Consider the following 26,336-nt stretch of genomic DNA (forward strand, 5'->3'; position numbering starts at 1 on the left):
AAAAAAAAAAAAAAAAAGGTCATAGCGTCCCTGGGTGGGCTCGAACCACCAACCTTTCGGTTAACAGCCGAACGCGCTAACCGATTGCGCCACAGAGACCGAGTCGACTACCGGCGTAGTAGTGAGCCGAGTCAATGGGAGCGAGCCTGGACGGCGCAGACGCCGTAAGAGATGCCGCCATCGGGCGAAATAAGTGGAACCCGGGGGAGAAAGGGAAGGATCCTGATGGGGGAGGGAGGCGAAAGAGCTTGGGAGGAGAGGACGCGGGACGTGCACGCCCTTCCTCCATTGGAACGGCGAGAGGTCGACTCTGGCTATCCTCAGGTTCTACCTCAAACGTGGAGAGGCGCGGAACGTCCCTTTTTAGGGTGACCTGAGATTGAGGATACGTGAAGTCGGGCCGCAGGAAGTCCCCCAAATCAGAACAAGCTTCGGCTTCCAAACTCCCTTTCACAGCTGAACCCCTGCAGCCGCAAAATACCCGCGACGCCTACACGCGACGCCTTCCCCTTCCCACCTGCATCATTAAATTTCCATTTAATGGGCGCCTCCTATATACTAGGCACTGTTGTGGGCCAGTGAATATTCCGAGCCTAGGCAAGTGCCTGGTACACAGTAAACGCAGGATTTCTGGAGTGAATAAATAAGCTAGCACGACTAATACGACGAACTCATACATCACGTTGATAAGCGTCACGGTGCCCCTTCAGCTGGGGCCGCAGCTTCCTAAACCCAGTTTCACCAGCCCACGTGCGCGCAGGCTCCGCCCCCAGTCCCTGAGGTCCCGAGTCCAGGTCCGCCGAGATCCCACTATGCACCGTGTCGCAAGTCTCTTCCGCAGCCACAGTGACTTTTCACTTCCGCTTTTCCCGCCTCCGTTTTGACTTTGCAACCAAACTACCTGTACTGGTGACCGACAGGGACGTGTGACCAATAGAAAGCCCAGATGTCCAGGAAGAGTCCGCCTATCAGCCAATGAAGAGACAGCAGTGAGAGCGGTTGCGCAGTGAAGGCTAGACCCGGTTTACTGGAATTGCTCTGGCGATCGAGGGATCCTAGTACACCGCAATCATGGTGAGATGGGGAGTTAAAGCAAAGGGGCATGGGGAAGGATTGAGAAGCGGAGGGGGTCAGGAGAGGCTTGGGGACGAAAAGGGCCTAGGGTCGATGGAAGGAAGCGGTTTCAGTTCGAGGGGAGCGGGCCCCGGTGAGGACCAAGAGGGTGAGTGCGGCTCATTGCCGCCACACAGTGCTCATCCCAGCTGGAGAACCAGGGGTTCAGACGCCTCCGGAATGGAGAACGGGCGTACAGGAGCCTCCGCATCAGGAGCTGGGCCGGGGGCTGTGGCAGCGTTTGACCCCCCGCGCTGACCCCTCCGCTCTGTCTGTCCTAGTCTATTATGTCCTATAACGGAGGGGCCGTCATGGCCATGAAGGGGAAGAACTGTGTGGCCATCGCTGCAGACAGGCGCTTCGGGATCCAGGCCCAGATGGTGACCACGGACTTCCAGAAGATCTTTCCCATGGGTGACCGGCTGTACATCGGTCTGGCCGGGCTCGCCACTGACGTCCAGACAGTGTAAGTTTCAAGGGTCCCCGCCCACACCCAGGCCTCTTCTTGGACCATCCAACCCCGGCGTCTTGACCGGCCAAGGTGTCAGTCATCTACCACACACCACCAGTGAGTTTGAGACTTTGCCGCCTCCAAAAAACATGTCCTTCCCTTTCTTTTTTTTTTTTTTAGACAGGGACTTGCTCTGTCACCCAGGCTGGAGCTCAGTGGCATGATCTCAGCTCACTGCAACCTCCACCTCCCAGGCTCAAGCGATTCTCGTGCCTCAGCCTCCTAAGTAGCTGGGACTACAGGCGCGCACCACCATGCCTGGCTAATTTTTGTATTTTTAGTAGAGACAGGGTTTCACCATGTTGGCCAGGCTAGTTTCGAACTCCTGACCTCAAGTGATCCACCTGCCTCAGCCTCCCAAAGTGCTGGGATTACAGGCATGAGCCACCACACCTGGCCTGACTTTGATTTTGACAACAATTTTGAGCAGACAAGACAAGCCCAATAGAAACATCTTGCAAGCAGTTGGGGTTTTGTTATTACATCTCAGGGTTGGGGAAGCATTGGCAATGTGCCAAATCTATGGGAGCAGATTCTGGAGAGACAAAGTCTGTAGGGAGGGAAATAATGAGCGGCAGTTTGAGAGCTGAACGTTACATTTAGCAGTGAGGGGCGAAGAGAAGCCAGAGAAGAATAAGAGAGGAAAAGAACGGTGATAGGTTTTCAGGAGGGAATACGTGGTCACAGGGGGCAGGTCCTGCAGGGTACTGGTGCCTGAGGAGCAGCAGGTCCTGGATTTGTTTCCTAGAAGGTGGAGAGACTAGCTCACAAGCGTGGGTGGATGCCTGTCAGAAAATGTTCTCATTTCGGCTGGGCGCGGTGGCTCACACCTGTAATCCCAACACTTTGGGAGGCTGAGGTGGGCGGATATCTTGAGATCAGGAGTTCCAGACCAGCCTGGCCAACATGGTGAAACGCTGTCTCTACTAAAAATACAAAAATTAGCCAGGCTGGGTGGTGGGCACCTGTAATCCCAGCTACTCGGGAGGCTGAGGCTGGAGAATTGCTTGAACCTGACAGACGGACGTTGCAGTGAGCTGAAATTGTGCCACTGCACTCTAGCCTGGGCAACAGAGCGAGACTCTGTCTCAAACAAAATAAAAAAAGAAAGAATAAAAGAAAATGTTCTCATTTCTCTTAAAACTCCCTGAGTCTCAAGAACATAACACTTACTGAGATCTCACCCAGCCTGCCCTTTTTTCCTGTCTGGTAGAGTCAGAGAATGACATCCTGGGGTTCCTGTCAGTGAAGTCTCCCGTGAGCCTTCCCTTCTGCAGTCACTGCTGTTCTCACACCATTTCCTTTTCTTCAGAGGGCTTTTCTCACTGCGTTTGCTTCCTTCTGGGCAATGACTGCTCATTTCACTAGGCCTCAGTTTCCTTACCTGGAAGATGAAGCTCAAGTCATTTCTAAGTCTCTTTGCTCTGGTGTCCTGAGACTCATTGCTTTTCCTCCAGCAGGTGTGGCATTGGTCTGCTCTATGCAGGGGCCTATCCTGGGGCTCTGAGATGGAACTGGCAAGCTGTGACCTTTTTTCCTTTTTTCACCAGAGCTGCCAAATGGCCTTTTTCTAAGGCATCTTTCAAGTCTGTTAGCACATAGCACAGCAGTTGGTGCTGCCCCCTTTTTTTTTTTTTTGTCACCCAGGCTGGTGACATAAACTTAACTCACTGCAACCTCCGCCTCCAAGGCTCAAGTGATCCTCCCACCTCACCCTCCCAAGTAGCTGGGACTACAGGTGTGTGCCACCATGCCCAGCTAATTTTTGTAGTTATTGTAAGAGGCAAGGTTTCGCTATGTTGCCCACAGCTGAACTCCTGAGCTCAAGCAATCCTTCCGCCTCAGTCTCCCAAAGTGCTGGGATTACAGGTGTGACCCACTGCGCCCAGCCTAAACATTTTTAATATGGAACGCTTCACAAATTTGCATGTCATCCTTCTGCTAATCTTCCCTGTATTATTCCAGTTTTAATATATGTGCTGCTGGCCAGGCGTAGTGGCTCACGCCTGTAATCCCAGCACTTTGGGAGGCCAAGGTGGGCAGATCACGAAGTCAGGAGATCGAGACCATCCTGGCTAACACCGTGAAACCCCATCTCTACTAAAAATACAAAAAGTTAGCCGGGAGTGGTGGCGGGCGCCTGTAGTCCCAGCTACTTGAGAGGCTGAGGCAGGAGAATAGCGTGAACCCGGGTGGCGGAGCTTGCAGTGAGCCGAGACTGACTGCGCCACTGCACTCCAGCCTGGGCGACGAGTGAGACTCCGTCTAAAAAAAAAAAAAATATATATATATATATATATATATGTGTGTGTGTGTGTGTGTGTGTGTGTGTGTGTGCTGCCAAAGCAAGCACCAGTTGCTACTTCCTAACACATGTAAGACTACAGTTTTCCCTGGGCAGGGACTGAGATGAGATGTCTCCTTATGTTTCCCTGACCTCAACAGGGTAGACACTCAGGAATATTCAATAATGACTTACTAACTCACTTTTCTCCTACCTCAGTGCCCAGCGCCTCAAGTTCCGGCTGAACCTGTATGAGTTGAAGGAAGGTCGGCAGATCAAACCTTATACCCTCATGAGCATGGTGGCCAACCTCTTGTATGAGAAACGGTGAGTGCAAGTGTAGCTAGCACTGAGGGAATGCAGACATCTTTGAATGTAGTATGGAGTAGGTACTGAGGAAGAGGACTCTCCTTGTTTTTCCATCTCTTATTTGCAGGATAATATCCTTATTTTATGGGTGTGTTTTCTTTGGGCCTGTCTGGCAACCAGATAGGAAAGAAAATACTTATGTTGGAAGAAGGCAAGGAATGCACATAGCAGATAAATTTGCATCTAGGCAAAAGAGTTAGTCCCACCAGAGTGTTCTGGGGTCTCCCAGCAGGAGCCACTCTTGCCCTAGAGCTATTCTGTCAGCACTGGCTTCTTGGGAATAGCAGGGAGCCTAGGAATGGGGTGTTCATTTTCGTCAGTTCTCCTTGAGGGCTTTATGGTGAGAAACAAGGGGCCTAACTGTAGAATTTAGTGCAGAAATCTAGGATGGAATTGAAAGGAAACCCTGTGGGTGCTTTCTACCTCTGGGCAAACCTGGGTGGCCAGAATATAAGTTGAGCTCTCTTTTTCTTTTTTTTTTGAGACGGAGTCTTGCTCTGTCACCCAGGCTGGAGTGCAGTGGCGTGATCTCGGCTCACTGCAACCTCCACCTCCCAGGTTCAATCGATTCTTCTGCCTCAGCCTGCCATGTAGCTGGGACCACAGGTCCATATCACCACACCCGGCTAATTTTTGTATTTTCAGTAGAGACAGAGTTTCAACATGTGGGTCAGGCTGGTCTCGAACTCCTGACCTCAGGTGATCCACCTACCTTGGCCTCCCAAAGTCCTATTATAGGCATGAGCCACCATGCCTGGCCTGATCTCTTTTTTTTTCTTTTCTTTTAACTTTTTATTTTGAAGTAATTTTTGTAATTTGTAAAAATACCCTTTAGCTTTCAAAAACTTTTTCTTTTTTTTTTTTTGAGATGGTGTCTTGCTCTGTCGCCCTGGTGTGCAATCACGGCTCACTGCAATCTCCACCTCCCGGGTCCAAGTGATTTTCCTGCCTCAGCCTCCTGAGTAGCTGGGATTACAGGTGTGTGCCATCACACCTGGCTAATTTTTTTTTTTTTTTTTTTTTTTTTTTAGTAGAGACAAGGTTTCACCACGCTGGTCGGGCTGGTCTTGAACTCCTGACCTCAACTGATCTACTGCCTCCGCTTCTCAAAGTGCTGGGATTACAGGCATGAGCCACTGCGCCCTGCAAAAAGTCTTATAAAGTTGTAACAATTAACTCATATTTGGATGTATATTAAATGGCTTGCTGGGCGTGGTGGCTCATGCCTGTAATCCCAGTACTTTGGGAGGCCAAGGAAGGTGGATCACTTGAGGTCAGGAGTTCGAGACCAGCCTGGTCAACATGGTGAAACCTCATCTCTACTAAAAATACAAAAATTAGCTGGGTGTGGTGGTGCACGCCTGTAATCCCAGCCACTCGGGAAGCTGAAGCATGAGAATTGTTGAACTTGGGAGGCAGAGGTTGTAGTGAGCCAAGATCATGCCACTGTACTCCAGCCTTGGTGACAGAGTGAGACTTAGTCTCAAAAGAAATAAAAAATAGGTCGGGCGTGGTGGCTCATGCCTGTAATCCCAGCACTTTGGGAGGCCAAGGTGGGCGGATCACGAGGTCAGGAGATCAAGACCATCCTGGTCAACATGGTGAAACCCCATCTCTAATAAAAATGCAAAAATTAGCTGGGCGTGGTGGCACACACCGGTAATCCCAGCTACTTGGGAAGCTGAGGCAGGAGAATCGCTTGAACCTGGGTGGTGGAGGTTGCTGTGAGCAACTTGCCTCAGCCTCCTGAGTAGCTGGGATTATAGGCGCCTGCCACTGCACCTGGCTAATTTTTTAATTTTTAGTAGAGACAAGGTTTCATCATGTTGGCCAGGCTGGTCTCAAACTCATGACCTCATGATCCGCCCACCTCAGCCTCCCAAAGTGCTGGGATTACAAGCATGAACCACTGCGCCCAGCCAACGAAAAAAAAAGTTAATAATATCTGGGATTATCTGGATAAGAACCTTAAAACCAAATACTATAACACAGCTCAGGGCCTGTGTTTGAACTTCCTATTATGCTGATGCCGAGTTACCATCTGAAGTAACTTTTACTGCAGTGTTTCAGACAGAGGTGCGTAGATGGTATCTCTGGGGTCCAGATTTTAAAAAGGGTCTGGACATTGCTCAGGTTTGCAGTTCAATGCCTCAGCCTGTCCTGCCAGAAAAATCACTGATTTCAGATGGGCTCATAGAGGAAGCTCCCGTCAATAGTAGCTAAGAATCCAGAATTTTTCAGGTCACCTAATGTATTTTTTTTCTTTTCAATAAGAGTAAGACATTTATTTTATTATTTTTATTTTTTATTTTATTATTATTATTTTTTTGAGAGTTTCACTCTTTCGCCCAGGCTGGAGTGCAGTGGTGCGATCATGGCTCACTGCAACCTTTGCCTCCTGGGTGCAAGCAATCCTCCTGCCTCAGCCTCCCAAGTAGCTGGGACCATAGGTGCATGCCACCATGCCTGGCTAATTTTTAAATTTTTTTGTAGAGACAGGGGTCTCACTTTGTTGCCCAGGTTGGTCTTGAATGCCTAGGCTCAAGCAGTCCTCCAGCCTTGGCCTCCTCCCTAAGTGCTGAGATTACAAACGTCAGCCATCATGCCTGGCCTAAAAAAGTTATTTTCATGGTGGCTCATGCCTGTAATCTTGAACTGTGCGTGTGTATGTGTGTGTGTTTCTATTTAGAGCTATAACTGAAGATCATGCCCTTAGAAATGACTGTGATCCAGGCCTGGAGCATTGGCTCACGCCTGTAATCCCAGCACTTTGGGAGGCCGAGGTGGGTGGATCACAAGGTCAGGAGATTGAGACCATCCTGGCTAACACGGTGAAACCCCGTCTGTACTAAAAATACAAAACATTAGCTGGGCATGGTGGCGGGCACCTGTAGTCCCAGCTACTCAGGAGGCTGAGGCAGGAGAATGGCTCGAACCCAGGAGGCAGAGCTTGCAGTGAGCCAAGATCGCACCACTGCACTCCAGCCTGGGCGACAGAGCAAGACTGTCTCAAAAAAAGAAAGAAAGAAAGAAATGACTGTGATCCAATAAGACATATGGATAACGTCTCTTTTACTGACTCTTTCTACTGAGGATATTGGCCATTTGTTATTTGGTATTTTATAGATATTCCTTACCTTATAAACTGTTATAAGTTTAAAATATTGTAAGTTGAAATGGGTATTTTGTAGACATAGGATGCAAATACACAAAACACTATATCCAAAAATTGCTCACAGCAGAACAGTGTAAAGTATCTGTTGTTTCCTCTGGTGATTGTGTGGCTGACTGGGAGCTGCGGCTCATTGTCACTGCCCAGCATCAGGAGTGGGTTTGGTACCACAAATTGCTAGCCTGGGAAAAGATCAAATTTCAAAGCATAGTTTCCACTGAATGCCTGTTGCTTTTGCACCATCATAAAGTTGAAAAATTTTAAGTTGAACCATCATAAGTCAGGGACCATCATCTGTACATAAAGATCCCTAAGACTGATTTTTCTTTTTTTTTTTTCTTTTCTTTTCTTTTTTTCTGAGATGGAGTCTCGCTCTGTCGCTCAGGCTGGAGTGCAGTGGCGCGATCTCGGCTCACTGCAAGCTCCGCCTCCCGGGTTCATGCCATTCTCCTGCCTCAGCCTCCTGAGTAGCTGGGACTATAGTCACCCGCCACCATGCCCAGCTAATTTTTTTTTGTATATTTAGTAGAGAGGGGGTTTCACCGTGTTAGCCAGGAAGGTCTCGATCTCCTGACCTGGTGATCCACCCACCTCGGCCTCCCAAAGTGCTGAGATTACAGGTGTGAGCCACCGCGCCTGGCCCAAGACTGATTTTTCTTAAAGATCAGTGTCTAGAACAAGTTTCTGATGAGCTGCCATTTCCTTTTGACAATGAGAGTAACCCAGCCACTGAGTATCCCTCTTTGCCTTGCCTGCTAGGGGGCTCAAAACAAAACTTTGTGTTCAGTCTGAGTTATCTTGTATTATGTTTTAATGGTTTAGTTTTATTTTTCAGTGTTTTTCATATAAACTGCCTCCAATCTTTTCTCTAAAGGAGTAGAGGTATAAACATACACATAGAGGACTGAGTGATGGTAGGACCTTGGGTGAGGAGAGGGAGGATTAGAAGAAAACAATTCTGAAAGAAAGAAGGAGCACAAGAGGGTCAGAGGTGAGAAGGATAGAAAGGTAAGTGTTGAAGAAAAGAAAGTGGAAAAGTCTTAGAATATTTCTAGCTGGCAGGAGAAGGGAGAGGGAGCTGGCCTCAGGGAAAGGTGATCTTCCTAAACAGGTCCTCCATTTCCCTTTGGGTCTGGGTCTAGGCCGGGGCCTTGTCTGAATAGGCTTAAACATGAAAGCGAGCGTTCTTGAGTTCTGGTTTCTCTCTCTGATGCTGGCCCCCACAGGTTTGGCCCTTACTACACTGAGCCAGTCATTGCCGGGTTGGACCCGAAGACCTTTAAGCCCTTCATTTGCTCTCTAGACCTCATCGGCTGCCCCATGGTGACTGATGACTTTGTGGTCAGTGGCACCTGCGCCGAACAAATGTACGGAATGTGTGAGTCCCTCTGGGAGCCCAACATGGTACGTTGGTGGCATGGAGAGGGGCTGGGCTCTGAGTTACCCACCCTTGGTCATTAGGAAAAAAGTGTGTTTATGTGGCAGGTAATGGGGAGAATGGTGCAGGTGGGAGAGAAAGCCACAGCTGCTGCTCCTTGGAAGGGTATCCAGAAATTCCATCTGCCAGGCTGGCTGGCTGGCTCCAGAGGAGAGCATCTTCTGTTAGGAGACCACAGTTAGATATTTGCCACAGCAGTAAGAATTCCTTACATTGGGTTTACAGGGTTCTCGCATCCATTCACTGAGCAAACATTTAACTCAGTGTAGGGTTAGAGGCAGCTCAACAGGTTGTCTGGGTTGGCAACCTGGATCCACCCACCACCTTAGTTATTGTTCTTGGAGAAGCCAGTTTCCCTCTCTGCCTCCACTACCTTGACTGTAAAATGAGGATAAAAAAGTCTGCCTTAGAAGTGGTGCTGAGGAAGCCGGGCGCGGTGGCTCACGCCTGTAATCCCAGCACTTTGGGAGGCTGAGGCAAGCAGATCACCTGAGGTTTGGAGCTCAGGACCAGCCTGACCAACATGGAGAAACCCCGTCTCTACTAAAAAAAAAGTTAAATTAGCCGGGCATGGTGGTGCATGCCTGTAATCCCAGCTACTCGGGAGGCTGAGGAGAATCGCTTGAGCCTGGGAGGCGGAGGTTGCGGTGAACAAAGATCGTGCCATTGCACTCCAGCCTGGGCAACAAGAGCTAAACTCCGTCTCAAAAAAAAAAAAAAAAAAGTGGTGCTGAGGAAAACAAATGAGTATATGTGCTGCCGAAGCGAGCACAAAAACAAGTGAGAAGAGATGAGATAGTGCTTGACGGCGAGGGTCGGCTGTCGTTATTAAGTGCCAGCTCTTCCGGCCACTGGGGAAAGCAGGTACAGTCTGCTTTCAAGGGCCCACTGCAGTCCAGTGAAGCAAGACACATCCAAATACCTGTTGAACTGCAGTTTGTTGGGAAGAGGAGGAAAGAAAGGGTCTGGGGGCAAAGGTACAGGAAGGGGCAGGTATGCTCAGTGACTGGAGAGCTGAGCCTGGCTGGAGTGTGGGTTAAACATGGGGAGAAATGATGCTGGAGACTGAGATGAGACCTCAAAGGGCCTTGAATGCCATGCCAAGGAGTTTGAACTCTGTCCTCTGCCATAGGAACCTAGGGAATCAGGTGCCTTTAGGTGGACGTGACAGGCTGTTACCGCCTGCAGGAGGCGCTGAGGTCCTGAGCAAAGACAGTGGCAGTGGGGAGGCAGGAAGGCAGCTGTCAAGGGGACTTAGTCACTTAAAACAGAAGCGAAGGATGTAGAGACAGAGGATGGCTGGGTTCTCCAGCTAGGCTAGCCAAGACAGAATGTAGAAGGAACAGGTTTGGGGGAAGTGGGTTTGTGGTTGGACAGGTTGGGTTTTGAGGTACCTGTTAAGATATCCAGGATCAGAGCCCATCAGACAGCTGCTAAAGCACACTGGAGCTAAATAGGGATTCTTCTCCCTATTTTACAGAGAAACTGAGGCTCAGTGAAGAGAGACATACTATTTGCCCAATGTCACACTGCTGATTAGTAAAAGAAATTCAGGGCTTGAAGTCTCTTTCACTTTCCTTTACATAATTCTGCTTCCTTCCAAGGAAGGAGCTGAGAGGGGCTTCCCACATCCTGGGAATCATCCCTTACTTCAGGCATGTCTTGGGGCCAGAGCTGGGAATCTTGAGCCTAGAAAAAAGAGAGTTAAGGGACCAGACCAAATCAGAGCCAGAGGCTGTGGTTTGAAGGGGTTCCACTCTGTTGGCAGGATCCGGATCACCTGTTTGAAACCATCTCCCAAGCCATGCTGAATGCTGTGGACCGGGATGCAGTGTCAGGCATGGGAGTCATTGTCCACATCATGTGAGTATGGGCTGGGAGAAGTCTAGAAGCTCTGCAGACACCCTGCCTCTCTCCCTTCTCCACGAGCATACACCCCATTTTCCCAGCCCCCTGGTCAGGTGTGAGATAAGAAAGGTGCTTTTGGCAGTCCTGGGTGAGCAAAAGTCCATGCCTCCCTATGGCTGGTAACTGGCAGCCTACCCAGCTTCCTCTGGCCTCTTGTCAGGTGAGGTTCTGTGACCCCGTGCTCACAAGAGACATTTCTTCCTTAACAATGTCTCCGAAGTCTCAGGGATCCGTGTTGGGGTGAGCCACAACAAAGCTACTGCAGATGGATTGAAATTCTAGGTGGCTCGCATCCTCTCTCCAGCCCAGATCTGTGTGATGTTCTGAGCTCTAGAGACCAATTTCCAAGCCTCAGCCAACTCCCTAAGTGCCATCCTCCTTGTCCTTTTACTTGTTTGGGGCCATCACCAGGAACCTGATTGGATAGAGTAGGAGGTATCCTTCCAACCACTTTCCTACATTGCAGGATAAGCATTTGGACCCTTTTGGGGGATAGCCTGCTTAATTACCGTGAAATAGTATTTGGCCAGGCGCGTTGGCTCACGCCTGTAATCCCAGCACTTTGGGAGGCTGAGGTGGGCAGATCACTTGAGGTCAGGAGTCTGAGACCAGCCTAACATGGCGAAACCCCGTTTCTACTAAAGATACATAAAATTAGCCAGACGTGGTGTCACGTGCCTGTAATCCCAGCTACTAGGGAGGCTGAGGAAGGAGAATTGCTTGAACCTGGGAGGCAGAGGTTGCAGTTAGTCAAGATCACGCCATTGCACTCCAGCCTGGGCAACACAGTGAGACTCTGTCTCAAAAAAAACAAAAACAAAAACAAAAAACCCAAAAAACAGAATTTACCACCGACGGTTTTTTTTTATGTTCTTTGGGGTGAAACACACCACACCTTCTCCTTCCTAAGTGGCTTGTTCTCTAGGCTTGGAGGAGCTTCTTCCCCCTTTTTTTTTTTTTTTTTTTTTTGAGATGGAGTCTCATTCTGTCGCCCAGGCTGGAGTGCAATGGCACTATCTCAGCTCACTGCAAACCTCTGCCTCCTGGGTTCAAGTGATTCTCCTGCCTCAGCCTCCTGAGTAGCTGGGATTACAGGCACGTGCCACCATGCCCAGCTAATTTTTGTATTTTTAGTAGAGACGGGGTTTCACCATGTTGGTCAGGCTGGTCTTGAACTCCTGACCTCGTGATCCGCCTGCCTCAGGCCTCCCAAAGTGCTGGGATTGCAAGCATGAGCCACCGCGCCCGGCCAAGCTCCTTCCCTTCTTTTGAGAGCTGTGAAGTCTGGCCCTGAATCATTTTCTGGGAAAGCCTCCCTGAGGTGGTTCCACCTGTGGAAAGTCGGCCCAGGTCTCTGTTCCTATCCCTCCTTCCTCACCACAGGCGGAGGAGATGAGCTAGCAGGAATGAACTAGAGCAGGATAGTTACACCTAGAGGCAGCGGGCAGCTATTTGTTCTGCTCCCTTGCCGCAGGGCTTGAGGGCTTGGTGCTGAGGGCCAGGAGAGCTAGTCACAGTCACGGTCCAGATGGGTAGAGATGTTTTCTTGTGATTTTCTCCCTCTGCAGCGAGAAGGACAAAATCACCACCAGGACACTGAAGGCCCGAATGGACTAACCCTGTTCCCAGAGCCCACTTTTTTTTCTTTTTTTGAAATAAAATAGCCTGTCTTTCACTCCTGCTTTTGTCTTTGATGCTTTCCTGCAGATCTCTGCCCTAGCTGGGCAGCTACAGCCAGCCACTCAAGTGTGTGTGGCCTGGCCCTCGGCTTGCTTTCTGGCTCGTGCTCTACTCCATCAGTGCGTGCCAGTGGGGACAATCCACATGTCACTTGCTGCATGCTCCCTGTGTGCTAGGCCCCACACAAGTGCTTTACACGATCTAGAATTTATTCATCATAATGACTCAAGGTAGTTGAGATTATCCTTGTTTGGAGAAGAAGGACAGTTAAATAACTTACCCAAGTCTACTTTAATAAGTGATAAAGCCAGGACATAAACTCATGTTCCATTGATGCCAGAGCTTAGAATCCTTTTCACTCAAACTCTACGGGAAAACCCTTACATCTTTTATTGCTTCAGGTAGAAATTTGGTCAAGTACCCATAAGTAGTCTAGATTAGTGTTTCTTAACCTGGCCAGCTCATTAGTCACCTGTGGAATTCCTAAAACACATACCTTGATCCCACCCCTTGAGATTCCAATTGGCCTTTTAGGGGCCTGGGTACCTGTCTTTTCCAGAATTCCCCAAGTGATTCCAGCTTGCAATCTGCAGTACATAGATGGCCTAATAAGCAAGTAGAAAGTTTGCATAGCAGAGTGGTTCCCAAACGTTAGCCCCCATCACAATCACCTGGAGGGCTCATTAAAAGTTTGATTCAGTAGATCTGGGTTGGAACCTGAGAATTTACATTTCTGACTCCCAGGTGCTAATGACACTGCTGGTCCAAGACCACACTTTGAGAACTACTGGGTTTTAAGCTAAATGCCCAGATGCAGTAGATGAGGTGCACAGAGGTGACATGTTCAAAGTTATGTCAGGTGAGTGGCTCCTAGCCAGAGTTCGTTCTACACAGCTGGAGGCGGGGGGGCGGGGGGGGGGTTGTCCATTCTTCCATGTGCATGGTAGTAACAGCTAACAGGCAGATTGGCTCTGGTGCTGTGGTGTTTTGTTTGTTTTTTCCTTAAGAGTCTCATTGTTGCTAGGGCTGGAGTGCTGTGGTGCAATCATGGCTAACTGCAGCCTCAACCTCCCAAGCTCAAGTGATCCTCCTGCCTCAGCCTCCTGAGTAGCTGGGACTACAGACATGTGCCATCACATCCAGCTAATTCTTGTTTTGTAGAGACGGGGTCTCACTATGTTACCCAGACCGGTACTGAACTTCTGGGCTCAAGTGATCCTCCTGCCTTGGCCTCCCCAAGTACTGGGCGTGAGCCACCAAACCCAGCCAGTGGTGCTGTGCTTTTAACCACTGTTTATTAATTGCATCTGAAAGCGGGATGTCATTGACCATATTCTTTCTCCAAACTCAAGCCATACATTGATTTAGCCGAAGCTGCCTCTAAAGCTAGGACCAAAACTTTTTAATTCTGGGAAGAAAAAAAAAAGGTTCATTTCCCAAGGACTCACACATAACAGATGTACACAAAGCTTTTTGAGTTTTATTTTTTTCCTCAGGTTGGAGATTCATCGTAACATGCATGCATTTTCAAACAGTAACAGGGTCTCAAACTTTTTAAAGCAGACGTTAGACAAGCACAGGGGATTGAAAATTCCCATTTAAAAAATGGAAACTGCAGTGGGATATGGAGAAGTCACACACTTGGTGGGGTGGTGGTTTGTCCTGCTTCCCCAAAAGGTGGATATGAACTTAATTCACATTTTTTAATTTCAATGATCTGACCTGATGCTGGGATGTGCCGAGCAGTACTGCCCCCTCCCCCAAGGGTGTTGGCTCCCACCGCCTCTCACAGTGGCTCTGCGCAAGGGCAAGAGGCTCCTGTGGAAACTTCTGCCCTGGGATACTGGCACAAGCTGCCAAGGGACAGCTGAGTCTCCTTTTCCCCATGGGGCACTCTTCATAAGTGGCACATTCTAGAGGAGGGAGAGGGCCACGGTCACTGACCCCTGCAGATGGCTGGTAGATTGGGGAACAGTTGTCTGAATGGGTTTTCCCTTTCAGGACCTCCTGCCCGCATGACTGCCAGGAAGAGATGAGGCTCCTAGACTTGGGGGGCCACAGGTTTAAGGCCAGAGCTCTGAGTGTTGTTTAAACGCACTGTCCCTTCTAGCCCCCAACACCTGAGTAACTCACATGCTGGGGTGCTGCAGTTTTCTCTCCCACCCTGAATTGGTAAAAAGACAACTGGGGGGTAGGACTGGCTACTGCAAAAAGTCCTGGGTCTTTGGTCCACCTCCCCAAGGTATGCCCTGGCAGACCATGAAGACAGGAAAGGCAGGGCAGGAGTGTAGCCTCACGCCCTGAGCGCTACCAGCAGGCCTGTTTGAGGCCAAAAGCACAGGCAAGAGAAAGAGTCAAGTAGGGAGAGGGGATAAAGAGCTGCCTGTGGTGGGAACTTAAGAGACTGCCACTGAGAACAGCCACAGGGGCCACTCGTGGCGCCTGCCACAGACCAGCAACCCCTGAGCTAAAGAAGGAGAGGTGGAGCACTGCTTCAGTCTGCGCCCCTCAGCTGTGGCTTCCCGGCATGCCCTGTGACCCCAAGCCGCAGGGTACAGGAAAGAAGTTTGTGCTGGGGGACTCAAAGACCCAGAGGTTAATTAACAGGAACCAGGGCCAGGGGCCTTCATCTAGAGGTCAGTGGAGTCTCCAGGGCACTCATCACTGTGGCTGGGAGACTACAGTGTCTCGGCTGCGGACTTGTGGAAGAAGAGGGGGAAGGATGGGAGAAGGGGTGACTGGATGCCAGCCAGGAATCCTGGCCTTAGCCCTATCCTGGCCTCGCCTAATCAGCCATGTCGTTATTCTTACACCTTTCTTCTTGGGAGACCCAACATTATTCTGAGATGCCATGAGACTGTTTAGCTTTTCTTCATGGCCCCAGGGAGTGAGGCTGAGGGCAGTCACTTCCCCTCCAATGCCCTCGACTGCCCAGTAAAAGAATGGCGGGACCCAAGGAGGAAAGAGTGGGGGCAGACAACGCTTGGGGGATCAGTCCACTTTCTCTACATTCAAACTGCAGACCAAATAGAATACCATGACAAAAAGAAGAGAAAGGAAACTTGTATAAACCAAGATAAATAGCTTTTAAACATTTGAATGCCAAAAATTGGGGGCCAAACTCAAGGTTTTGAAGATAGCACAGCGAATGACCTTTAAAAAAAAAAATTGAAAATCCACCAAACCACAGCTCAAAATGTTATGACCCAGTCAACAATACTGTCAGAAAAACAAAAAGCATTTGAAACAGAATGCTACCTCTCAAAATGTAAACAATATACAAAACACACAAACATACACACACACACACAAACTCAATGTTAAACAAGTTAGATACCTGGTAGTCGTCTTTAACCAGTAAGAATGTGTTACACTTTCCATACACATTATGGCAACATGATCAGCAGACCAAATGCAGAGAAGCCGGTAGGAACCCGAGGCCACGGAGGCTGCTGGAAGACAGCTTTCCAAGCTTCAGAGATGCTGCGCCTGACGAGGAGCAGATCCAAACTTCCATTCTTCATTATGACGTGGGGAAATCAAGTCCAAACATTATTCCTACATAATCCCTTTCCCAAGTCAAATTTGTTTTCTCCATGAGCCAGTTGGTTTCAAGTTCCCTAAGTCATGTAGTGGTCTTGCGGCAGTTGTTCAGACCTACCTATGGCCCCTTCCTGGGGCCAAGGCAGTGGTTTGACCCCCATCTGCCTCTTCCAGAAGGTTTCCCATCCAATCCAGCAGCCCCAGTGAAGTCCAAGAATGCCGTCTCCATTCTTTCCTGACCTATATGCTGTGAGTCAGGCACAGAGACAGTGCTGGTTCCTGCTTCGGAAGCTGGGCTTGGCCAGGTTTGGAGGGAGCCACAGGAAACCAATCTATTCATTCAAAATGGTTTCACAAGCGATCTTCACATCTTTGGGGTTATCTACAAGTCTGACCATATCTCATCCCAAATCCCCAGTTCCTGGTTGAGGGGGTGAGAAGATGCAGGAATGTACCTCCCCCAATGCAGAACAACAGAGCTGTTTCTCTCCTGGCCAGAGCAGCCTGTGGCTCAGTTCTGAGGGCCTGGGTGGCAGGCTCCGAAGGCAGGTGGAACACCTGCAGGAAGCCACTCCTTCCAAAAAAGCCTGTGGGCTGCAGATCTGCTAAAAGTCTAGAGCGGGGCAACAAGGAAAAACAGCCCCAAGGCTGAGGCCAGGTCAAAACCCACATCAAGCCTCCAAACTGGATTTCCTGGATCACATCCTCATGTAACTAGGAAGCCACCTCACGTTTGGACACCACACTCTAAGATGGGGGCACCTTGCTGGCTGTAACTCTCCAGGCACAGGGAGACAGATCTCCTACAAGGTCATCCCGGAGCTTAACGAGGTGTCTCTGCTAAAAAGCACTCCAGGCGCTTGGAGATCTGCCCAGAGCTAAGAGTTCGGCTAGAAGTAAGAGTGCCTGGGAGGAGGTCAGAAGGAAGAAGGAAATAGATCGAGGGCACAGGGCCTCATTTGATACATCAGTTTCTGAAGTTTTCCCAAAGGGAAATAACCATTTAAACATGAGGGTCCTGATAAATCCAAAGGTACTCTAGTTCCTCTTGACCTAGTGGGAGGCAGGCTTTACAGAGAGGACTTCTGAACTCCAGGGGCTAAGACAGCCTGGGGCTTGGGTGATCATCACAGGGTTCTCTGAGAACCAGGTGTCCAAGAGCCCAGCCGCTTTCCTGCCCCTCACCATCCCATGAGGATGAACTTATTCCCCTCTGAGATCTCTGATTCTGATCTGAGATCTCTGGTGTTGACCTGGTGTATTCCAGACAGGATGGAGGAATAATGCAACAGTTTTCACTTGAATCCAAGGGAAAGGTGGAGGAAGTTGTGCACAATACTCCATAAATTACAAAGTTAATCCAGACAAGAGCAAATGCAGCAGGGCGAGGTGTCTGACCTCTCCAATCTGGCATCCATAGCACTTGGTTCTGGAAGGACCCTTGTGCTGGGTCTACCGGGTATCTCTTTAATTGAAGGGAACTGAGAGCTCAGCAAAGATGGGGAGGGTGGGTAGGCTGATGAAATATGATTATAAATAGCAAACCTGGAGCAATGAAATTTCAGAAACAAAACCCAAATAAACCCACGAAGTCATCTCTAGCCCCAAGGTATCTTAAAAGGTTACAAGGTACCAAAAAGGGAACCCCTTTTTAACCTGGGTGTCAAATGGGGAGAAAAAATCAAGGGTAAGCAGAAGGTGGGGTTACATCCTGTGAGCAGGTGCACACACAGCACATCCCCCTCCTCTTCAGCTAAAGTCTCTTTCGGTGTCACAGGCTGCAGTCTCATTGCTAAAGCCCTCCCAAACCCGACTCTGCTCCCACCCTCCCATCTAGCCCAAATACACCCTTCTCCCTAACTCCCGATCCCCGACCCCATATCCAGCTCTCTGGCTCTGGCTGAAGGTAGAAGAGAACTACGTCAGGATGTTGGACATAAACTCGTTGAAGCGTTTGGAGTACTGCTCAGGGTTCACAGTCGAGATCTCGGCCCCTGCCTGTAATACACAAGAGGCTGATTCAGGTTGAGTTCCTGTGCCCCAATCAGGAGGCTGCACATGGGGGGAGCCAGGGTATTCAGAAGCCTCTTACTCAGTATCAGAGCTGAATACCACCCCCAACCCCACCAAGACTGAGCAGACCACCTCAGGAAGTGGCATACAAGTCCTGAACTGTCCTGGCCCCACTCCTGTGATTTATAACCCCAGGCCTGCACCGAAGTAGAAGAAAGGCAGTGGGGAGGTGGCAACGCGGCTCTGGATCTCTGTGGGGGCCACTACATGGAGAACAGGGCTTCAGGCCCACAGGGAAACAGGCCTGTGGGGAGCAGTATGGGCATGGAAACAAAGCTATTACTCGCCCTTCAACAAGATGCACAACAGGCCCAGCAGGCCCTGGGGAAAGACACTGGCAGGCTTGGCCCCGAGGGCTGGAGAACTGGGGGATAAACAAATTGGGCCCAGCCTGGCAGGGAGCAGGTGGGTGAAGGCAGGGAACATGGCAAGGCAGGCAGGCTGCTCTTCCAGTCTGCTCTCCTGGGAAGAAGGAGACAGGAGTGTGTTCCTTGGAGCAGGAGGCCTGAGACTGCCCTCCCTGGGGTCTGAGGGTAAGCACAGATGCACCGACCCAGCTGGGCCCTGGATGAAGATGGAGAGGACTCACCCCGTGTTTCACCGTTTTGGCAGCATGTGCAGCTTTCTTCTTTGTATCGTATGGCGTGAGGATATCAATGATGGCCATGAAATACACCTCCTTCTTGGGGGAACCTGGAGGGACAAGGAGAGCAGGGAAGAAGGAAGAGGGGGCAGGAGAAGGGCAGACAGCAGCTGGGCACTGCTACAACCCCCAGACACAAGGCTCAGCTCCATCCTTATCATGTTGGGGCTGAGAAAAGGACCAGTGGAGTCCTTTCCAGCTGTCATAGCTCTTATCTTATTGGATCTTCACAGTCACTCTGTGGGGCTGACAGGACAGTATGAATAAAGTTTGGTTCATCTCATGAACCAGAGCAGAACCACTCTTCAGTCAGCCAGGACAAGCAGGGAAGTATAGGAAAGCCTGGCAGAGGAGGAGCCCCAGGTTCAGGTGGTGACCCTGGATGGGAATCTGGAGGCAGAAAGAGGTCAAAGGCAGCAATGAATGAGGTGGAGGTCCAGATGCCCCTAGAAGGATCTAAACAATGAGCTGAGGGGGTAGGATGAGGGCAGGGCTGTGCAGAGCAGGCGCAGGCTCTGACTTACTTTCATGGCTTTTCATGGCATAGACGTCAACAGAGGGGTCGAATTCCCCAGGACCAAAGAACCGAGGAAAGCTGAGGAGGTTGCCAGGGCTGTCCGGAGGTGTGCCATAGGAGCAGAGTAGGTTGCCACCCACCCCATCATTCTCACACTCCTCGTCCTCTGCCCGCTCCTCCACCTCCATCTCCTCCTGCTCTGCCCGGTCCACGTCGTGGATGCCCACCAGCAGGCTGTAGTCCATGATCTTCAGCTGTGCCAAGAACTAGGAAGGGCAAGGATGGAAAGATGGAAGGAAGAAGAGGTTACACAGGACATCCCAGTGACATCCAGAAAGGGGGGAAAGGCATTCCTTTCAACTCAATTCTACAAACAGTTTTGAAATTCAACAGAGAGTAAGGCATCAGAGCACCCGCCCTCGCGAGCTCTCTCTAATGGGGAAGACAGTCATTCAGCAGGGGAAAGGCAGGAGGTCGAGGCTGCAGTGAGCTGTGATCACACCACTGCACTCTAGCTGGGTAACAGAGGGAGATGGTCTCAAAAAAAAAAAAAAAAAAAAAAAAAGCAAGGAGCTGTGGGAGTTTACAGTGAGGGGTGAGCAAGACCCTCCCTGAAGAAAGGAGTTGAGGCCAAGGATGAAGAGGAGTCAGTGAGGCAAGTACTGCAGGTTAAAGATAGAACGAGCACTGCAGGAAGAGGGAACAGCCCATGACGGTTTGGGATCAAGAGAGGCCATGGTGGCTGGGCACGGTGGCTCATGCCTGTAATCCCAGAACTTTGGGAGGCCAATTAAGGAGGATCACTTGAGGCCAGGAGTTTGAGACCAGCCTCAGCAACGTGATGAGACCCCATCTCTACAAAAAAATTTAAAAATTGGCTGGGCGTGGCAGTGCACACCTGTAGTCCTACCTACTTGGGAGGCTCAAGTGGGAGGATCGCGTGAGCCCAGGAATTTGAGGCTGCAGTAAGCTATGACGGCACTATTGCACTCAAGCCTGGGGAACAGAGTGAGACCCTGTCTCTTGTTTTAAAAAAAGAGGCCATGGCCAAGTTTGAGGAAAGAAATAATGAAATGATATACTATGGAAGAGGATGGAGCGATGGATATGACACAACAATATATTTCAGATCAAAATTTCAACCCATTATGAGTCCTAAACCCAATGTAGTGGGCTGGAACTAGGATTTCTTTAAATTAAATGCAGTAGTCCACCCTTATCCACAATGGTTTCAGTTACCTGTGGTCAACTACAGTCCAAAAATATTAAATGGAAAATTCCAGAAATAATTCATAAGTTTTTAAATAGTGTACCATTCCGAGTAGCATGATAAAATCTTGCTATGTCCCATTCAGTGCTGCCCAGGATGCAGATTATCCCTTTGTGCAGTATATCCACACTGTATGCACTAACGTCCCATTAGTCTTTCAGTAGCTGTCCGTAGCTGTCTTGGTTATCAGTTCACTATAGTTGTATCACAGTGCTTGTATTCAAGTAACCCATATTTGACTTCATTATGACTCCACAGAGCAAGAGTAGTGATGTTGGCAATTCAGATATGCCAAAGAGAAGCCATAAAGTGCTTTCTTTTTTTGAGACAGAGTCTTGCTCTGTCACCAGGCTAGAGTGCACTGGTGCAATCTCGGCTCACTGCAACCTCCACCTCCCAGGTTCAAGTGATTCTCCTGTCTCAGCCTCCCAAGTAGCTGGGACTTCAGGCATGCACCACCACACTCAGCTAATTTTTGTATTTTTAGTAGAGACAGTTTCATCATGTTGGCCAGGCTGGTCTCGAGCTCCTGACCTCAAGTGATCCACCTGCCTCAGCCTCCCAAAAGTGCTGGGATTACAGGTGTGAGCCACTGCACCTGGCCAGCTTTAAGTGAAAAGGTGAAAGCTCTTGACTTACAAAGAAAATAAATTGCATGCTGAGGTTGCTAAGATCTCCTGTAAGAACAAATCTTCTATCCGTGAAATTGTGAAGAAGGAAAAAAAATTCACGCATAGTATATACAGGGTTCAGTACTATCTGTGGCTTCAGGCGTCCACTGGGGATCTTGGAACATGTCCCCTGCTGATAAGGGGGGACTACTGTATAATAAAATAGAATAGAAAATATCAGAATACATGACAGAAAATAAGGGTAGACAGTGTTTCAGTTGTGTGTATCCATTGGGTTGCAAGGTAAAATATACTTCTAACTGGCCTCAGAGACAAAGTCTGAAAAAACTATGTCATCGACTTTTCAGCCCAGGTAAAAATAGAAAAAAAAGGAAAAGGGAACACAAAACCATACAAGAATGGCAGCCAGAACCAACCAATATTCTCAACCCATTCCCTGAAGGTCAAAAGAGGCTGTGTGGTGCTGGGGGAAAGTCCTCCCCTAGCATCATGTGACTCCCCTTGCCAAGCCTTAGTTTTCTCATCTGTATAATGGGTGCTGTGAGCAGGGTGGTGGTTCAAGTCTTTTATCTAGGATTTCAAGACAAAGTATGGAATGATACAGGATGGAAATGGCCAGCTAGCATTCCAGTTTAGCTAATAATGAGGCAAGAGTGCAGTCACCATCATACAGTGGTCACTAGGAGACTGTTAGACTGACCACCATGTTAGGTCCTAACAGAGAACTAGGAGGAGAATCATCATGGAAGCAGAGCAGCTCTATGCACGAGCCCAGAACACAACTAAGGACAAGGAGCCCTAAAGATGGGAGCCCAGCAGGATCTCCTTGGAAGAGGAAGGGAGGGAGGGATGCCACTCTGAGCACTTCCAGACAAAGCCTTCTCAAGGCCCAGGGAGAAGGGGCTAGGGTCCCAGGAAAAAGAAGGTCCATGCACCATGCCCTCCACCCACCTGAGAACATTTATAAAGCAACATGCATTGAAAACAAATGCACTGAGTAAACTGCATTAAATTCTTCTCAGAACCACAGTAGGGGGAGAGGGTAGAAAAGGGAGAAGGACAAAGACTCAGGACAAATAATGTCAGATGATGAAAGGCAGAATAAGGAAAGAACATAGTTGGGGGTGACTAAGGAAACGCTTCCTAGCAAAACGAAGTTTATGACACCCATGTTCACAGTAGCATTATTCCCAACAGCTACAAGGTGGAAGCAACCTAAGTGTGATGGCTAATTGTATATGCCAGCTGGACTGGGCCTGAGTGCCCAGACACTTGGTCAAGCATTATTCTGGGTGTGTCTGTGAGGGTTTCTGGGTGAAATGAGCATTGAACTGGTGGACTGAGTAAAGCAGATGGCCCTCCCCAGTGTGGATGGGCATCATCCAATCAGCAGAAGGCCTGAAGAGAAGAAAAAGGGTGACCCTCCGGTGAGGAAGAGGGAACTCCTTCTGCCTGGTGGCCTGATGGCCTGTAGAATAAAACCACACCACCAGCTCTCCTGGGCCTCCGGCTTGCTGACTGCAGATCTCGTTGGTATCCATAATCCCATGAAACAATTCCTTAAAATAAATCTCTTAGGGCCGGGCGTGGTGGCTCACACCTGTAATCCCAGCACTTTGGGAGGCCGAGGCAGGCAGATCATGAGGTCAGGAGATCAAGACCATCCTGGCTAACATGGTGAAACCCCATCTCTACTAAAAATACAAAAAAAACTAGCTGGGCATGGTGGTGGGCGCCTGTAGTCCCAGCTACTCGGGAGGCTGAGGCAGGAGAATGGCGTGAACCCGGGAGGCGGAGCTTGCAGTGAGCCAAGATCGCGCCACTGTACTCCAGCCTGGGTGACAGAGCAAGACTCTGTCTCAAAAAAAATAAATAAATAAAATAAAAAATAAATATCTTGGTATAAAGAGATTTACAAAACATCCTATAGGTTTTGTTTCTCTGGAGAACCCCAACTGATATAACAAGTGTCCATTAACTGATGAATAAACAAAATGTAATACATCCATACAATGGAATATTAATCAGTTTTTGTGTGTGTGTGTGTGTGTGTGTTTTTGAGATGAGGTCTCGTTCTGTCGCCCAGGCTGGAGTGCAGTGGCACGATCTCGGCTCCCTGCAAGCTCCGTCTCCCGGGTTCATGCCATTCTCCTGCCTCAGCCTCCCGAGTAGCTGGGACTACAGGCGCCCACCACCACACCTGGCTAATTTTGTTTTTGCATTTTTAGTAGAGACGGGGTTTCACCGTGTTAGCCAGGATGGTCTCGATCTCCTGACCTCGTGATCCGCCTGCCTTGGCCTCCCAAAGTGCTGGGATTACAAGCGTGAGCCACCGCGCCTAGCTTTTGTTTTGTTTTTTAAAGAGATGGGGTCTTACCCTCTAGTTCAGGCTGATGCACAGTGGCATGATCATAGCTCACCACAACCGTGAACTCCTAGGCACAAGGGATCCTCCCACCCAGCCTCCTGAATAGCTAGGACTACAGGCACATGTCACCACACCCAGCTAGTTTTTAATTTTTTGTAGAGACAGGATCTCAGTAAATTGCCCAGGTCTCCAACTTCTGGCCTCAAGCAGTCCTTCTGCCTCAGCCTCCTGAGCTGCTGGGATTACAGGTGTTAGCCACCATGCTCAGCCTTATTCAGCTTTAAAAAGAAAGAAATTCTGGCCAGGTGTGGTGGCTCACGCCTGTAATCCCAGCACTCTGGGAGGCCGAGGCAGGCAGATCACGAGGTCAGGAGATCGAAACCATCCTGGTCAACATGGTGAAACCCCGTCTCCACTAAAAAAATACAAAAATTAGCTGGGCGTGGCAGCACGCGCCTGTAGTCCCAGCTACTTGGGAGGCTGAAGCAGGAGAATCGCTTGAACCCGGGAGGCGGAGGTTGCAGTGAGCCGAGATCGCACCACTGCACTCCAGCCTGGCAACAGAGCGAGACTCTGTCTCAAAACAAATAAATAAATAATAAAAAGAAAAAAATTCTGACACATGATACAGTATGGATGAACCCTGAAGACATTATGCTAAGCAAAATAACAGAGTCACAAAAGGACAACTGCTGTTTGCTTCCTTTTTTTTTTTTTATTTTTTGAGATGGAGTTTCATTCATAACATGTTGCCCAAGCTGGAGGGTCACCGCAACCTCCGCCTCCTGGGTTCAAGCGATTCTCTTGCCTCAGCCTCCCAAGTAGCTGGGATTACAGGCGTGCACCACCATGCCCGGCTAATTTTGTATTTTCAGTAGAGACTGGGTTTCTCCATGTTGGTCAGGCTGGTCTCAAACTCCTGACCTCAGAAGATCCGCCCACCTCAGCCTCCCAAAGTGCTGGGATTACAGGCATGAGCCACCTCGCTTGGCTGTTTGCTTCCTCTTATGTGAAGTTCCTAGAGTAGTCAACTTCATAGGGGCAGAAAATTGAACACTGATTGCCAGGGGTTAGGGAGGGGGAATTGGGAATTAGTATTTAATGGGTATAGAGTTTCAGCTGGGAAAGATAAAAGTTCAGAGATGAATGGTAGTGCTGGTTGCATAACAATGTGAATATACTTAATGCCACTCAACTATATATCAAAATGGTTAAGGTGCGTGCCTATAGTCCCAGCTACTTGGGAGGCTGAGGTAGGAGAATCACTTGAACCCAGGAGGCGGAGGTTGCAGTGAGCCGAGATCGTGCCACTGCACTGCACTCCAGCCTGGGGACAGAACGAGAATCTCCTAAAAAAAAACAAAACAAACAAACAAACAAAAAAAACACCTATTATTATATGTATTTTACCACAATTAAAAAAAATTTTTTTTCCCAAGTTTGTTTGTAGGATTTGGTTTTAACGAGCAGCCTCTCAATTTATTAAAAGAGAAGGAGACGCTGAGTTATCAAGTGGTCCAGATAACATTTTCACTATTTAGCACCTGTCCTCCCCAGATTACAAACAGAAGTTTGCTAGGTAAGTGGAGAATCAGAGCCAGAGCCAGAGAAGAACCTGATTAGTGGATTTTTGTTTTTTGAGACAGGGTCTTGCTCTGTCACCCAGGCTGGAGCACAGTGGCATGATCACAGCTCATGTTGCCTTGATCTGCCAGGCTCCAGTGATCCTCCTGCCTCACCCTTCCAAGGTGCTGGGATTACAAGAGTAAGCCACCATGCTTAGCCAACTTTTTCGGTTTTTGTTTTGAGACAATGTCTTGCTCTGTTGCCCAGGCTGGAGTGTAGTGGTGAGACCACAGCTCACTGCAGCCTCATCTCCCGGGCTCAAACAATCCTTTCGCCTCAGCCTCCCAAGTAGCTGGGACTACAGGTGTGTGCCCCTACGCCTGGCTAAATTTTTTAATTTTTAGTAGAGATGAGGTCTTGCTATGTTGCCTAGGCTGGTATTGAACTGCTGAGCTCAAGCGATCCTCCCACCTCAGCCTCCCAAAATGTTGGGGTTACAGGACCTTAATAGCTGGGTTCCTACAGCTCTGATGGCCAGATGCCCTCTCCATTGTAGGGACAACAGCAGAAGGGAGTTTGAAAAAGGTGTTGGAATGAATTAGTGAAAAGGGAAAAGCATTCTAAACTAAATTACAAAGGTCCTACTGGCGCCAACTATGCTCCGTCAGGTGGAATGATCATTTGCACTTGCTTTAGGTGCCCATAAGTGCCCACGCTGCTCAAATCACCACCCTTTTGTCCATACTCCTGGAAAGTACTGAATTCCATTCTTCTTAAGGTTTAAGAGGCGCCTACTCTAGGTACAGAAGGAGCCTTGCAGGTGAAAATGAAGGTTAGTAAGTACCTCAACGTCCCGCTTCAGTTTCTCCAGGAAGTTCTTTTTACTCTCCTCTCCCACATGCAGCTTCTGCCCTTCATTGAGGAAGTCATTGTCTTTGAATGTTGGCAAGTCCTTGGCCTAGGAGAGCAACAGCAGTTAGGCTGGGTAAGCCTGATTAATTCACCCCAGGGACACCCAACTGTTCTGCCGGGAGCAACTATACAGAAAGGGGAAGGAGGGGTTGTCAGTGTACCGACCCTCAACCTGCTAAATCAGCAGTGCAGGAGCCTCTAGTCCCAGGCTTTGGGTGGGCAGGGAGGGCAAACACATGAAAGATGAGGAATGACTAAAGGATTCTTTCCTGTTGAGCCTGGACCAGCTCAGGGCTCAGGCAGCCACTGACTGACTCAGGCTGGACTATGAGATAGA

At 49.2% G+C, this 26,336-nt stretch overlaps 2 protein-coding genes, 1 non-coding gene and 1 pseudogene across 11 annotated transcripts in view; 1 reads left to right on the forward strand and 3 right to left on the reverse strand.

The window, feature by feature from the left end:
* Positions 1–25: 25 nt before the first annotated feature.
* TRN-GTT2-5 (tRNA-Asn (anticodon GTT) 2-5) lies at positions 26–99 on the reverse strand. The gene has a single exon. It is a non-coding gene; the product is annotated as a tRNA-Asn (tRNA).
* An 886-nt stretch (positions 100–985) lies between these two features.
* On the forward strand, positions 986–12,470 carry PSMB3 (proteasome 20S subunit beta 3). Of its 3 annotated transcripts, none has more exons than NR_104195.2 (6): positions 986–1,074; positions 1,395–1,579; positions 4,128–4,235; positions 8,753–8,853; positions 10,656–10,750; positions 12,364–12,470. NR_104195.2 is itself a non-coding variant. In NM_002795.4 (6 exons), the coding sequence occupies exons 1-6, from the start codon at positions 1,072–1,074 to the stop codon at positions 12,410–12,412; spliced, it is 618 nt and encodes a 205-aa protein (NP_002786.2). In that variant the 5' UTR covers positions 986–1,071; the 3' UTR covers positions 12,413–12,470. The 3 variants fall into 3 exon arrangements, 1 of the variants encoding a protein (NP_002786.2); NM_002795.4 differs by having other exon boundaries at positions 8,676–8,853; NR_104194.2 differs by lacking the exon at positions 8,753–8,853.
* Positions 3,524–3,645, reverse strand: RNU6-866P (RNA, U6 small nuclear 866, pseudogene; annotated as a pseudogene).
* Positions 12,471–13,935: 1,465 nt separating the features above from the next.
* PIP4K2B (phosphatidylinositol-5-phosphate 4-kinase type 2 beta) overlaps positions 13,936–26,336 on the reverse strand; it is a 33,866-nt gene continuing 21,465 nt past the window's right edge. For all 7 annotated transcript variants that reach the window (NM_003559.5, XM_011525326.4, XM_011525327.3 and 4 more), the window contains 4 exons: positions 25,932–26,045; positions 19,259–19,517; positions 18,681–18,784; positions 13,936–18,016 (listed from right to left, as the gene is read on the reverse strand). In NM_003559.5, the coding sequence (NP_003550.1) occupies positions 17,936–18,016; positions 18,681–18,784; positions 19,259–19,517; positions 25,932–26,045 (558 nt within the window). In that variant the 3' untranslated portion in view covers positions 13,936–17,935. The remainder of the gene's footprint in view (positions 18,017–18,680; positions 18,785–19,258; positions 19,518–25,931; positions 26,046–26,336) is intronic.

This window comes from Homo sapiens, chromosome 17 (genome assembly GCF_000001405.40).
Source record: "Homo sapiens chromosome 17, GRCh38.p14 Primary Assembly".
Classification (NCBI taxonomy): domain Eukaryota; kingdom Metazoa; phylum Chordata; class Mammalia; order Primates; family Hominidae; genus Homo; species Homo sapiens.